General features: G+C 48.1%; 1 protein-coding gene across 19 annotated transcripts in view, besides 7 other annotated features; it reads right to left on the bottom strand.

Moving 5' to 3' along the window:
* The window catches only part of TBC1D22A (TBC1 domain family member 22A), a 413,050-nt gene that overhangs the window by 390,580 nt on the left and 8,568 nt on the right, over positions 1 to 13,902 (bottom strand). The window contains exon 1 of one of the 19 annotated variants that reach the window (NM_001284305.2): positions 10,885 to 11,022. The gene's annotated coding sequence lies outside the window, so the exon portion shown is untranslated. 19 annotated transcript variants of the gene reach the window in all.
* Positions 1,591 to 1,757: a silencer, noted in NCBI's record as "fragment chr22:47179260-47179426 (GRCh37/hg19 assembly coordinates)". NCBI's record gives its function as "represses an EF-1alpha promoter that drives an FKBP-Casp9 reporter gene in an ReSE screen in phorbol 12-myristate 13-acetate-treated (for megakaryocytic differentiation) K562 erythroleukemia cells {active_cell/tissue: K562(+PMA)}" and the evidence as "EXISTENCE:reporter gene assay evidence [ECO:0000049][PMID:32094911]".
* Positions 7,350 to 7,429: an enhancer, noted in NCBI's record as "active region_19259". NCBI's record gives its function as "activates an Ori minimal core promoter by ATAC-STARR-seq in GM12878 lymphoblastoid cells {active_cell/tissue: GM12878}" and the evidence as "EXISTENCE:reporter gene assay evidence [ECO:0000049][PMID:35858748]".
* Positions 10,714 to 10,783: an enhancer, noted in NCBI's record as "active region_19258". NCBI's record gives its function as "activates an Ori minimal core promoter by ATAC-STARR-seq in GM12878 lymphoblastoid cells {active_cell/tissue: GM12878}" and the evidence as "EXISTENCE:reporter gene assay evidence [ECO:0000049][PMID:35858748]".
* Positions 10,824 to 10,903: an enhancer, noted in NCBI's record as "active region_19257". NCBI's record gives its function as "activates an Ori minimal core promoter by ATAC-STARR-seq in GM12878 lymphoblastoid cells {active_cell/tissue: GM12878}" and the evidence as "EXISTENCE:reporter gene assay evidence [ECO:0000049][PMID:35858748]".
* Positions 10,966 to 11,481: an enhancer, noted in NCBI's record as "H3K27ac-H3K4me1 hESC enhancer chr22:47169536-47170051 (GRCh37/hg19 assembly coordinates)". NCBI's record gives its function as "activates a minimal SCP1, AML or CMV promoter by ChIP-STARR-seq in naive H9 embryonic stem cells {active_cell/tissue: H9 hESC(naive)}" and the evidence as "EXISTENCE:reporter gene assay evidence [ECO:0000049][PMID:30033119]".
* Positions 11,174 to 11,353: a silencer, noted in NCBI's record as "silent region_13918". NCBI's record gives its function as "represses an Ori minimal core promoter by ATAC-STARR-seq in GM12878 lymphoblastoid cells {active_cell/tissue: GM12878}" and the evidence as "EXISTENCE:reporter gene assay evidence [ECO:0000049][PMID:35858748]".
* Positions 11,482 to 11,996: an enhancer, noted in NCBI's record as "H3K27ac-H3K4me1 hESC enhancer chr22:47169021-47169535 (GRCh37/hg19 assembly coordinates)". NCBI's record gives its function as "activates a minimal SCP1, AML or CMV promoter by ChIP-STARR-seq in naive H9 embryonic stem cells {active_cell/tissue: H9 hESC(naive)}" and the evidence as "EXISTENCE:reporter gene assay evidence [ECO:0000049][PMID:30033119]".

Below are 13,902 nucleotides of genomic sequence, written 5' to 3'. Positions count from 1 at the left end.
AACCCTATGAGCAGAATCAAATGCTTGCTCTATGCCAGGGGGTGGGAAAAAGATACAGCCTGCTTAGATCAAGCACAATCTATCTGTCATGTCCTTTTCCTGAAATGTCTTGGATGTCTCTCTGACATTGGTAGAAAGCTTTCAGGTTTAAAAATCAAAGGCTCGGGTTCAAGGCCCAGCTCCAACACTTACTAGCTGGTAAAGTTTTAACCAAGTAAGTACTCTGAGTTTTCGTTTTCTCATCCTGGAAATGGGAATAAGAACATGTATGAAATGAGATAACCGTATATCACAGAAATCTGAATACTGGGACATGACCTACAAATAGCGTTTATCAATATTATCAATCTCTCTGTATATGAACGTTTACATTCTTCCTATCATTTCCCAATGTATCTCTATTGCTCAAAACCAGCATGCTTCTTGGCCTACTGGCCACTATTTGCATGTCCTTTTTAAAAAAAAAGTCTCTGCAACATTATCACAGGCCACAGGCTTTTCCTCCCGGGACAGCCGGAAATTCATAAATTCTTCATAGGCAAACCATTTTTGTTTACTAAACAAAAAATGTTCCAACAAAGTTCAACTGAGACTAAAGGAACCCCATTTTATCTAATCAAAATTGCACTTTTATTTGATTTTGCATAGCTAAAAAGAAAAGCAGACTACAACTAAAGATATTTTAAAAGAATATGTGGCAACATACCCACCTACCTCAATTCAGATAATGAAATCTGTCTTTAAAAAAGTATATTAACCAGCCAGGTATGGTGGCTCACACCTGTAATCCCAGCACTTTGGGAGGCTGGCGGATCACTTGAGACCAGGCAGGCGGATCACTTGAGACCAGGAGTTCAAGACTAGCCTGGGCAACATAGTGAGACCCCATCTCTACCAAAAAAATAACTTAGCCAGGCACAGTGGCATGTACCTGGAGCCCCTGCCACTCACAAGGCTAAAGTAGATGGATCACATGAGCCCAGGAGATTGAGGTTGCAGTGAGCTGTGATCGCACCACTGCACTCCAGCCTGGGCAACAAAGCAAGACTTTGTATACAAAAAAAAGGATATTAGTCAATAAACTTTTTAATGAATTAAACTGCTTTGAAACACTGCAGTAATCTACTGTTTTTTATTAAAGAGAACCCTAGTGATTCCTTATGAAAAGCAGATGCATATGACGTAATTCCACTTCTTGATAGACGACCTAGAAAACCCTTGCACAAGCACACAGGAGATGAGCTCAGCAATGTCTATAATGCTAAAAAAGATAAAAAAAATTTTTTTGAGATAAACCTAGATGCCCATTGACTGAATAATGCATAAGCCAGAATACATACATATAATGGAATACTAACCATAGCAGATGTGAATGAACTAGAACCACCAGAACCAATCCAAATAAATGTCATCAACAGAACACTGAAGAGGAGAGCAAGTTGACAGTGTGGCATCCTTTAAAAAAATTTTTTAAATGCGAAATGATACTATATATCACTTTTGATACACATGAGTGGTAAAAAAAAAACTGCTCCTGCACACATGGGAATGGAAACACAAAACTCAGAATGGGTGGAGGGAGCAGCTGAGTTCAGGCAAAGACCCCACAGCGGCATCAACTGCGTGTGTGCGCTGTCCTCTTTCCCATGCTGGATGGAGATACGGTGTGTTCTGTATTACATCAGCCTGTGTGCCCCTTCTGAATGTCTGAAACGCTTTCTAGTTTTTTAAAGATCGCTCTGGCTCTGTGAAGGTGAGGTGTGCGTGGCCTGGACACGGGCACACTGCTGGAGCACCGCCTTACTCTCCAGAAGGGTCAAAACATGGAGGACTCCTGGGGGCACAGTGCTGATAACTCTAAGTCTGCCCATTCTTTTGACACTGTAAACAGAAATCTTTCAAAAAGTAAGCTCAGTATCATTAGCGATCAGAGAAACACAAATCAAAACCACCATCGGATACCACTTCACACCCAGCAGAATGGCAGAAATGAAAAAGACGCTAAAGCGTGATGGTGAGGATGCAGAGAGACCGGGACCTCACACACTGCTAGCGGGAAATTAAAAATGGGCAGCTGCTGTGGAAAACAGTTTGGCAGGTCCTCAGAAGGTTACATGGAGTTATCGCATGACCCATCAATTCCACTCGGAGGTAGATACCCAAGAGAAATGAAAATACACATCCACACCAAAACCTTGTACAGCATTAACCATAACAGCCAAAGAATGAAGGCAAATGTCCACCAGCTGATGAATGGGTCAATACAACGTGGCCTAACCACACAATGGAGTAATATTAGGTCATAAAGGGAATGAAGTCTTGGTACGCAACACAGCATGGGTGAATCCTGACAACATGAAGCTGAGAGACGCAAAAGGCCGCATACTGTATGATTCCACCGACATACAACATCCAGAACAGGCAAATCCCTGAAGCCAGATAGCAGCCCCATGGTTGCCAAGGGTGGGGAGGAGAGAATGGGAAGTGAATGCTAACAGGTACAGCGTTGCTCTCTGTGGTGATGAAATTTTTCTAAAACTGACTGTAGTAATGACTGCCTAACTGTGAATATACTAAAAACACCAAGCACTTTAAATGGGCGAACGGTGTGGTATGTACGTGGTATCTCCACAAAGATGGAAGGGAGGAAAGGAAGGGCCCCCTCCCTGACCCCATTGTGTCCCAGGAAGGCCGGGACGTCATGGAAGGGAAGGCTCGAGATGGCTGACCAGCCTCATTCATTCAACCTTTAAATAAGTCCAAGTCCGGCTGGGCACGGTGGCTCAGGCCTGTAATCTCAGCACTTTGAGAGGCCGAGGCAGGCAGATCACAAGGTCAAGAGATGGAGACCATCCTGGCCAACATGGTGAAACCTCGTCTCTACTAAAAATACAAGAATTAGCTGGGTGTGATGGTGCACGCCTGTAGTCCCAGCTACCCAGGAGGCTGAGGCAGAAGAATCACTTGAACCCAGGAGGCGGAGGTTGCAGTGAGCCGAGATCGTGCCACTGCACACCAGCCTAGGCGACAGAGTGAGACTCCATCTCAATAATAATAAGAAGAAGAAGTCCAAGTCCACTTGTCCCACCATGAATGACAAGTTTGTAGCGTAAATCACCACAGAACAACACACTTCAGCATGCTTCACATGAAAATGACAGATTTCATCGCCCCCAAACTTGAGGAGGACTAACTGGTTAGTAGTGAGCAAGGCAGGGGCCATTAGTTGGGTGTTCTGGTCAATGGGTACACATCCTGCTGATCCTACAAACACACAGCCGGGGCTCTCAGATGGAAGAGGGCATGAGCAAACACTGATGAAGGGTCACAGACTCTAACCCACGACAGGAGAGGCCGCACACAGGTGAAAGTGGAACAATGTGCACAAGGGACAAGATACTCCGGGGCAGGCCAGGGAGGGGCCGGCAGAGAGATGCCCCAAGAGGCTGTGCCCTGGAGAAGACCCCCAACCAAAAAGACCTCCCCATGCCCTCCCCAAAAACAGCCCTCAGAATTGTGGCCAAAGCTCCCCTTTTCAGCATAGGCACAGGGAGATGCAACTGCAATGCCACCACTCGTAAGGGGAACCCGAGGACACCCATGGCAGGCGAGGCAGGTAAACTAAGGTCTAACACGAGAACTGGGGTTGGGCGTGGTGGCTCAGGCCTATAATCCCAGCACTTCGGGAGGCCAAGGTAGGCAGATCGTTTGAGTCCAGGAGTTCAAGACCAGCACGGGCAACATGGTGAAACCCCGTCTCTATAAAAAATATAAAAATTAACCAGGCATGGTGGTGTGCTCCTGTAGTCCCAGCTACTCAGGAGGCTGAGGTGGGAAGATCACCTGAGCCCAGGAAGTCAAGGCTGCAGTGAGCTAAGATCACGCACCACTGCACTCCAGCAGTGACACCAGCAACACCAGCACCAGCAACTGCACTCCAGCAACAGAATGACACCCTGTCTAAAAAAAAAAAAAAAAACAAAATTGGGAGGGCACCTCCAGGGAGAAGAGCAGAGGGGTCACGGCATAAGAACAGGCTGGAGACACTGGTCAGTTGTGGGGGTCGGGGCAGGGGGAAATGCCCAAGAGAAAGAGAATGGGTCCCTGACATCAACACCAACTCTTCAGGACTGTGCCCAGAGCTGTCTTTACAACATGATTCAGAAAAGCTTAAATTTAAAAAAACAATAAACAAAATACTAAAATCCAATACTTGCTGAGAATCTACTTCTGGATAGCTAAGGCCTCCAACTTGGTCCTTGCCTGACAGCAGCGTGCAACACAGATGTCTTCAGCTTCTACTGACTACGCTGCGTTATGTTTCTCCATTCAAGTCACTCAACAAACACTGACTGGGCACCTGCTCCACACCAGGCCCGGGCTGGTCCTGGAAAGCTGACAGTGAACAAGCGAGAGTCCCTCTCCCTGTCCTTGGGCCGCCTCAGTGAAGGCAGCTAATCCATGAGGATACAAGTGACTCTGAAGCAGGAAGAGACAAGTCAGAGTCAAGAGGGACAGAGCGACTCTGGCCAACGCTGCAAGGCCGCTGGGTTTTGACAGGAGGCAGCTCTCCCTGGCAGATCCTGCAGAATGTTTTTCTGGTTTGAATTTGAAGCCTCTACACCAAGGTGCTCTTTTCAAACAAACCTGATGGTGTATCAGAACAGCTTTTTTTTTTTTAATTGAAGGTTAAACAGCAGTAGGTGAAAATAGCAGTGAGGGAAACAGGGAAGAGTGAAAGAAAATAAAAGTATGGAAAAGCAATAAATCCAGCTGCAATGTTCTCAGGATCATAAAATAAATGAAACATTTACGATTAAATGCTTCTCTGTATTTCACATATATGAAGTAAACAGGCAAGTCATCTAGTCAAATTCATTTGATGGCTAATCAACCTCTCTTCTCCAAGCACAGTCATTATTCAGTGCCCCCTTAGGGGTCAATAGCAGCTTTCTGAAATACGTACTCAAATTGGCAACTGAATTTACCACTCAGCTCATTCTAACACATGGTGATACTCCCCAGATTTATAAAATATATTCAGAAGTAAATTTTCCAAGGAAATTAACTCTAGGAGCTTTGGAGGAAAAATGTACGAAAAACCATCATGGCAACAGTGAACAATTCCACCATCCCCTCCGTCCACAGCATAATCTGAAACTTGTGCCCACCCCGAGGGTCAACAGCAGAAACATGTGGTACCTGAGACCCAAACCAGAGGGTCTCCGAGGGCTGTCCCGCCCCGACACCCACACCACTCTGACTGGCAGCAACACATACGCTGTCCTGCAAGGCTCCCAGCTATGTGGTGCTGCTTCTGGACCACAAACTCCCTGCTACAGGGGCTGCATTTTGTCTCATGTCACACTCCTCACAGCCCTCGGAGCACTGAGAACCCAGTAGGGGCTGAGGCAATTACTGGGTCAAACGGACATCTCTGGAAATAGGTCTTGGAAACAGCATTTTTACAATGATTTTTTCCCGCACATAACAAAAGCAATGTGTGTTTATTATAGAAAACAGAAAATATGAAGGAAATGGAAGTATTTTGAAATTGTCCTGGCCAGGCGCTGTGGCTCACGTCTGTAATTCCAGCTCTTTGGGAGGCCGAGGCGGGCAGATCACCTGAGGTCAGGAGTTCGAGACCAGCCTGGCCAACATGGTGAAACCCCGTCTCTACTAAAAATACAAACATTAGCCAGGTGTGGTGGTGGGCACCTTTAAAAAAAAGAAAGAAAGAAATTGTCCAACACAGAGAAGTCAAGCCACGCACCACATAACGACATTTTAGTCAACAACAGACCACATATAGGACCATGGTCCTGTAAGACTATAATGCAGTTGAAAAATTCCTGTCACCTAGTGATGTCACAGCCAAAGTTACATCACATCACAAAGCATACTCCTGTGTTTGCGGTGATGCTGATGTAAGCAAATCTACTGCACTGCCAGTCCTATAACAGTATAGCACATACATTATGTACTGTACGTAATACTTGATCATAATGAACAACTATGCTACTGCTTTATGGATGTATTCATTGTACTAATTGTATTATACTTGTTTTTTTATTTGAGACAGAGTTTTGCTCTTGTCATTCAGGCTGGAGTGCAATGGTGTGATCTCGACTCACTGCAGCCTCTGCCTCCAGGGTACAAGCGATTCTCCTGCCTCAGACTCCTGGGTATCTGGGATTACAGGTGCCCACCACCACGCCCGGCTAATTTTTGTACTTTTAGTAGAGACGGGGTTTCACCATGTTGGCCAGGCTGCTTTCGAACTCCTGACCTCAGGTGATCTACCTGCCTTGGCCTCCCAGAGTGCTGGGATTACAGGATTACACTGTGCCTGGCCTATTGTACTATACTTTTTATCATTATTTTAGAGTTATGTTCCTTCTGCTTGTTTAAAAAACAAAATACAATAAAAGCTGTAAAACAGCCTCAGGCAAGTCCCTAGTCCTTCAGGAGGCATTCCAGAAGAAGGCAATGTTATCATGGAAGATGATGATTCCATGCATGTTATTGCCCCCGAAGACCTTCCACTGGGGCAAGATGTGGAGGTGGAAGCCAGTGGCACTGACGGTCCCGACCCTGTGTCGGCCTAGGCTAATGTGTGTGTCTGTGTCTTAGTTTTTAACAAAAAGCTGAAAAAGTAAAAAATAAAAAATTTTAAAAAGAGAAAAAAGCTTACCGAGTCAGGATATAAAGAAAAATATCTTGGTGCAGCTGTACAACGTATTTGTGTTCTAAGCTATGTGTCAATAGAAAGGAGTCAAAAAGTTTTTTAAAAATCAAAACGTTTATGAAGTTTAAAAGTCACAGCAAGCTAAGGTTAATTTACTACTGAAGAAAGAAGGTGTGTTTATGAATCTAGTAGAGCCTAAATGTAGAGTGCTAATGACATCTACACGATGCACAGTGAGGACCCAGACCTTCCCATTCACTCACCCTTCATTCACCGACCCACCAAGGGCACCGTCCAGTCCCGTGAGCGCCAATCGCACCAGCTGCCCTACACGAGTATGCCATTTTATCTTTCATTCTGTATTTGTACTATACCTGCTCCATATTTAGAGATGTTTAGATACAAAAATACCAACCATTGTGTGACAACTGCCTGCAGTATTCAGAACAGTACCATGCTGTACAGGCACATAGCCTCAGAGCAACAGACGGTGCCGTACAGCCTAGGTGTGCAGCAGGCGACACTGCGCTAACTCTACCTGGGTTTGTATAAATGTGCTCTGTGATGTTCACACAGGGACCAAATCACCTAAGGACACATGTCTCAGAAGGCGTCCCCGTCGCTAAGTGATGCATGACTTTCGGAGCGGCTCCGCCACCCTGGCAGCCAGCCATCACCGAGGCCCATTTCCCCTCTCTCCTTCTTGCTGCTTCTCACTCAATCCTGGCCCTGCCCAGCTTCCCCTCAGGACTCATCACACTGAGCTCTTTCTTCTTGCTCCCTCCTCTGCCTCCTGCCAGCCTCTCTGCATGCCCCAGACTCTTCTGTGTGTTCCCAACTCTGCTCCCCAAAGCCGAGTCCTCAGTCCTCCTTCCTTCTCTTATGAAAAATCATGCTCTCTCCTGACCTCCTCCACCCGAGTAAACGGTTCTCAAACACGTGCCTCCAAGCAAAACCACTGCCAACTCTCAGCCACGAATCCACCACCTCACGTCAACGGGTTCCCCCAAAAAATCAGCTGTGCCCCACCGGCCACTCCTCACACCCACTCTTCGGTCCCCACCCTTGGACAACATCACTCTCTACCAGTCACACAAAAATAGACAATGTGCTCATCCCTGCCTCGTACCTCTCCCTCGAGCCCTCTTCTGGCGGCCCCTGGCTCTCACTGGCCCATGTCCTGGCATCGAAAACCCTCTGTCCCACTAACTTAAATCGGGGCTCCATTTTCTCTCATTCTGACCATGTATCTCCTGTGACCACCTCCAGAACTGCCATCCACCAACAGGAGGGTCAGCCTCGTCTCCTCCCTGAAGCACACCACCCACCCACGTCTCCACATCCTCTAGGTCACCTTGGAAACCTCCCACACATCTCTCTTCTCCTGTCCATCAGCCCTGGCCCTGACCCATCCCCTGCTCCTGAGAAGAACATGACAGTTGCACCGGCTGCCCCAGGGTTTGGCCTCAGCTCTGTCGTCCTGTGCCCATCAGAGGATGGGTCACTCCCCAGCTGAACATCCTTCAAGGTCTTCCTACAGGCCTTGGGGAAGAACTCGTATGCCTTCAGGTCCTATGAGGCCTGTGCAGTGTCCTCCTGCCCCTCTCGGCTCACACATCCCCTCTCGGGAGGGCTCTTTTTTCCCACCTTTTGCAAAGTGTGGCACAGGGTCCGTTTTGAATATCTACTGAACTAACTGAATTGCAAGCACTTCCTGACAGTCCCCTTCCTCTCTCTCTCCTCCCCACGGCCATGGTTCTCACCCGACATCCTGGCTGGCCTCGTCCTACCCATGCAATCTCAGGCCAGTTCCTTGACCTGAGCCTCTGTCTCTGGCACACAGCAAGAGGTCAATAAACAGTAGCAGGAGGTCTGATCAGGTCACTCCTGCTCAGAAACCTTCCCTACTCCAAACACAAAAGAGCCTCAAGCCAAAACTCCTGCAGCCACCATCCTGAACACTGACCCTCACCTCCCATCCCACCACGCAGCCGCAGCTGTGCCCACTCCTTCCATCCATACCACCCCACCACACAGCCACAACTATGCCCACTGCTTCCACGCACACCATCCCACCATACAGCCACAGCTGTGCCCACTACTTCCACGCACACCTCTGTTCTCAGGTAGCCAGCGACCCGCCAGGCTCCCAAACACACCCTGTACTCCTCCTCACTCAGGCTGTGTTCAAGCCACCCTGTGCCAAGAAGGCCTTGTCCCAGCCCCTGACTACAGAACACGCCCCACACCCCAGGTAACCTTCAAAGTCCACTTTAATGTCATCTCATGTCCTCAGTGAAAACTCCCCTTTCCTTGCCTATACTGCCACAGGGCTTCCTGGCCCCTCCGTGGCCCGCTTGGCACCAGCATCCTTGCGGCAGAAGCTCCTGGCTGGTCTGTCTCCCTCAGCAAACGAAGTCCCTCGGTAGCAGGAGTAACACCAGGCTCACCTTTGCACACGCCCCAGGGCCTCATGTGCAAACAGAGCGCATCCCATAACTGCTTGTTCCATTTAATTCTCTTCCTCACTGTGCACGTGTGTGAATGATTAAGCATTTTAAAGGTACACCGTATCTTTGAAGGAATTAACTTCCAAGAACACAGCACATTCTCTCACGACAAAACCCAGCTAGGTGACACCCTCTTAAAAGCTAGTGAGCTGCTGTAAAGGTGGCCTTTTCTCTCAGCTATTTAAAAGCATGACGGCTGAGGCAGGCACATCTGGCTGATGCACAAGCTGTTACAGTGGCTCTAGTGACTGGTTTTGGAACACAAAACTAACTCACTATAGAGATTAATTCTAAGAGAAAACAAAATGCGGCCCACAGCCAACAACCCTCTACCAGCCCTTCCAGGAGGCAGCTGTGGCCGCACAGGAATCACCTACTGCACCATCAATAAACCTGAGAACTTGGCAGCAGCCAGACCCAGTCTCAAAACAGAAGAGGTGGCGCTCTGTGCTCTTCCTCCACCCCGAGAAAGCAACTCCCAAGGCCCCAGACGTGAGCAGGAAAATAGTCATAGATTCTATAAAACTGTGGTTGTCTCTGAACCTTTCTTCCTCCCAGATCCCTTCCGTATTCGGAAAGAAGCAAGGCCAGATCTCCTCTTGACTCCCGACCCCAACAGCATAATGTAGGGAGTCCCAGGCAACTCGCTAGCCTCCCGCCCCAAACACATTCACGTGAAAACAAGGGCAGCGGGTGCACCAAGCCCTCGCGGAGGAGCTGCCACCCCTAAGAGAGCCACAGTGACACCAAGGGACCCACCCCCTTTCCAAGACCGGGTCCTCTGCCCTGTCCTCTCCACACATCCCGAGCCACTGATGGCTTTCAGCCAAGGATCAGGAGCTCATCCAGACGACTGCAATAAACATCACTCGCCTCATCTAGGTGAAAGCCTTAGAGCCAGCAAGCCTATTTTATTTTTTAGTTTAGTAAAAATGTTTGATAAAAGAAGGCCCATTTCAAACCAGCACAGCAAGGAGTAGAGGCCCAGGTGCAGAAAGCTGCACGGCACACTTAAAAATTCTATCAGCATCGGCCGGGCTCCGGTGCACACAGCGCACATGAGAAGGAAGAGGATGGCGGAGGGCGAGGCAGCGCTCAAATGAACCCAAGCATGAGCAAGAACACCCAGGAGGGACCCGTGGGAACAGAGCGGATGCAGTCGGGGGCCCAGAAATATCAGGGGCCCCGAAGCCGGAAAGGGCTCTGCCTTGGATGGGCCTGAAGGTGAACCCGTTCCCCTAGGAGCTCGGGGCCTTGAGCAGAGGCCCACCTTCCCCACTGCAGGCCGTTTACGGAAGGCAGACTCAGGGAGGAGAGGGCGCCCAGCAATGCCTGGCCCTGCCCCGGGGGGCTGCCATCAGTAACAACACAGACGTTCTCAGCCTCTACTTCCTACTTAATAAGGAAACCCACAGGTATTCTAAGCAACTGGACTCAAAGGGCCTACGTGCCCCTTCATGAACCGCAGCACTCGGGGTGGAATTTCCATGTTTATCACCAGAAAAGAGGAAACATTTCAGAAAGGGGGAACAAAAAGTCTGGGGATACTCAAAATGAAAGTTCCCCACAGCACGGGGCCCAGAAATGGGAAGAGCCCAGGCAGCCCTGTTCCCTCTGGGCCTCCTGATACCTCTGCCTCTTGTCTGCAAAGAGAACACCAGGGGGGACCTAGAACAAGCTGCTCACCTCACTCCAGAAGAATCTCTGCTGCCGAGCACAGCAAGCCTGGTTTTCCCCCAGCCTGGAGGAGCCAGGCCTCAGGCTGAGCTCAGCAGGGCTCCAAGGGCAGGCAGGCCCAGCAGGCAGCAGCCTGAGTTCAAACAGGAGGATGGGTGCGGGGGCGGGAGGAACACCTCCACCCAAGCCAGCCCACAGCAGGATCAGATTCCTGGTGAGTGAGTCAGCTTTCTCTGTAATAATTTCAACACCTGTTAAGTCCCCTAGGGAATGGAGGAGATAAGGATGAGGCTGTGATGGGTAAGGGCACAGACTTCTAAGGTTCAAACCCCAGCTTTGCCACTTATGAGCTGTGTGGCTTTGAGCACGTAGCTCAGCTTCTGAGTTTCCTCATTTGTAAAATAGGGACCACACGGTACCACCCCCAGCTGCTATGAGGACTACACGTGTGGTTGCATGTACAGTGTCTAGCCCGCCGGGTGCAGTGGCTCACACCTGTAATCCCAGCACTTTGGGAGGCCAAGGTGGGCGGATCACCTGAGGTCAGGAGTTCGGGACCAGCCTGGCCAACACGGTGAAACCCCATCTCTACTAAAACACACACACAAAAAAATGAGCTGGGTGTGGCGGCATGAGCCTGTAGCCCCAGCTACTGGGGAGGCTGAGGCAGGAGAACTGCTTGAACCCGGGAGGCAGAGGTTACAGTGAGCTGAGATGGCACCATTGTATTCCAGCCTGGGTAACAGGGCAAGACTCCATCTCCAAAAAAAATAAAAATAAGTGCCTAGCCCAAGGGAAGCACTCCACAGACAATCCCTAGCGTGAGGTGTGACACCAAGGCCCCAGCCACCTCAGTTCTGAGCGCTGCAGGGAACACCTGCTCTGAGCCTGCTCCGCACACAGACACGCTCCCCGACTCCTCAGGAAAAAGAACTACGCAGGTGGGTCATCTTGTGCTCCCAGGGCCAAGCACGGTGACATTCCCCACCCTGTGACAGGACACGGGCTCCTGTTCCTGGGCTCCCCACTGCACCTAGAAGCACTGCACGATGCAGATCTCCACGGCCTGTGTTCAGGGGGTGAAGGGCTGAGCTGAGGAGGGGCAGAGATGCTGAGCCTGCCAGAGAAGGAAAGGAGGGGCAGGTGTCACTCTCAGGCCACAGAGCCAGGACAGGCCCCTGCAAGTGAGCACTGCCCTTGTCCTAGCCACAGGCAGGCCGTGCTACACTGTGGCCGTTCAGGGAAAGAAAAACAGAGATGACTTCTTTTCAACACAAATGCCCATCCATCAACAAGTGGATAAAGGAAGTGTGGTGTGGCCACATGCAGTGGCTCATGCCTGCAATCCCTGCACTTTGGGAGGCCAAGGCAGGAGGATCAGGAGGTCAGGAGATGGAGATCATCCTGGCCAACATGGTAAAAATACAAAAATTAGCTGGGCATGGTGGTGAGCACCTGTAATCCCAGCTACTCAGGAGGCTGAAGCAGGAGAATAGCTTGAACCCAGGAGACAGAGGTTGCAGTGAGCCAAGATCACACCACTGCACTCCAGCCTGGTGATAGAGTGAGACTCCCATCTCAAAAAAAAAAAAAAAAAAAAGTGCGGTGCATGTGTGTTTGTGTATATATGTATATATGTATATGTGTGTATACATATATATGTATATGTGTGTATACATATATATGTATATGTGTGTATACATATATATGTATATGTGTGTATACATATATATGTATATGTGTGTATACATATATATGTATATGTGTGTATACTATATATGTATATGTGTGTATACATATATATGTATATGTGTGTATACATATATATGTATATGTGTGTATACATATATATGTATATGTGTGTATACATATATATGTATATGTGTGTATACATATATATGTATATGTGTGTATACATATATATGTATATGTGTGTATACATATATATGTATATGTGTGTATACATATATATGTATATGTGTGTATACATATATATGTATATGTGTGTATACATATATATGTATATGTGTGTATACATATATATGTATATGTGTGTATACATATATATGTATATGTGTGTATACATATATATGTATATGTGTGTATACATATATATGTATATGTGTGTATACATATATATGTATATGTGTGTATACATATATATGTATATGTGTGTATACATATATATGTATATGTATATATACGATGGAATACTACTTAGCCATAAAAAGGAATGAATTACTGGCATTCGCAGAGACCTCGATGAGATTGGAGACAACAATTCTGGGTAAAGTAACTCAGGAATGGAAAACCAAACATCACCTGTTCTCACTCATAAGTGGGAGCTAACGGCTAGGCATGGTGGTTCACGCCTGTAATCTCAGCACTCTGGGAGGCCGAGGCGGGTGGATCACTTGAGGTCAGGAGTTCAAGACCAGCCTGGCCAACATGGTGAAACCCCATCTCTACTAAAAATACAAAAATTAGGCGGGCATGGTGGCATGTGCCTATAATCCCAGCCACTCGGGAGGCTGAGACAGGAGAATCACCTGAACCCGGGAGGCAGAGGTTGCAATGAGCTGAGATCGCGCCACTCCACTCCAGCCTGGGCAACAGAGCAAGACTCCATCTCAAAAAAAAAAAAAATAGTAAGTAGGACCTAAGCCATGAGGATGCAAAGTCATAAGAATGACACAATAGACTTCAGGGACTCAGAGGAAAAGGATGGGAAGCGGGTGAGGGATAAAAGACTGGGTTCAGTGTATACTGCTCGGGTGCACTGTTCAGTATACACTGTTCAGTGTATACTGCTCAGGTGCACCCAAATCTCACAAATCACCACTAAAGAACTTACTCATGTAACCAAACACCACCTGTTCCCCAGTAATCTATAGAAATAAAAAATTAAAAAGAAAAACAGAAAGAAAAACAGACAAGTGGTCTCCGAAGACTTGTTCTCCTCAATTCCATGAGGAATCCCATGGTTCCTCAAAAACACTTGGAGGCGATGGGGTACTTCCTCCTGCT

The sequence above is a fragment of the Homo sapiens genome, chromosome 22, assembly GCF_000001405.40.
Source record: "Homo sapiens chromosome 22, GRCh38.p14 Primary Assembly".
NCBI lineage: Eukaryota > Metazoa > Chordata > Mammalia > Primates > Hominidae > Homo > Homo sapiens.
This window is presented reverse-complemented; position numbering and strand designations above follow the sequence as displayed.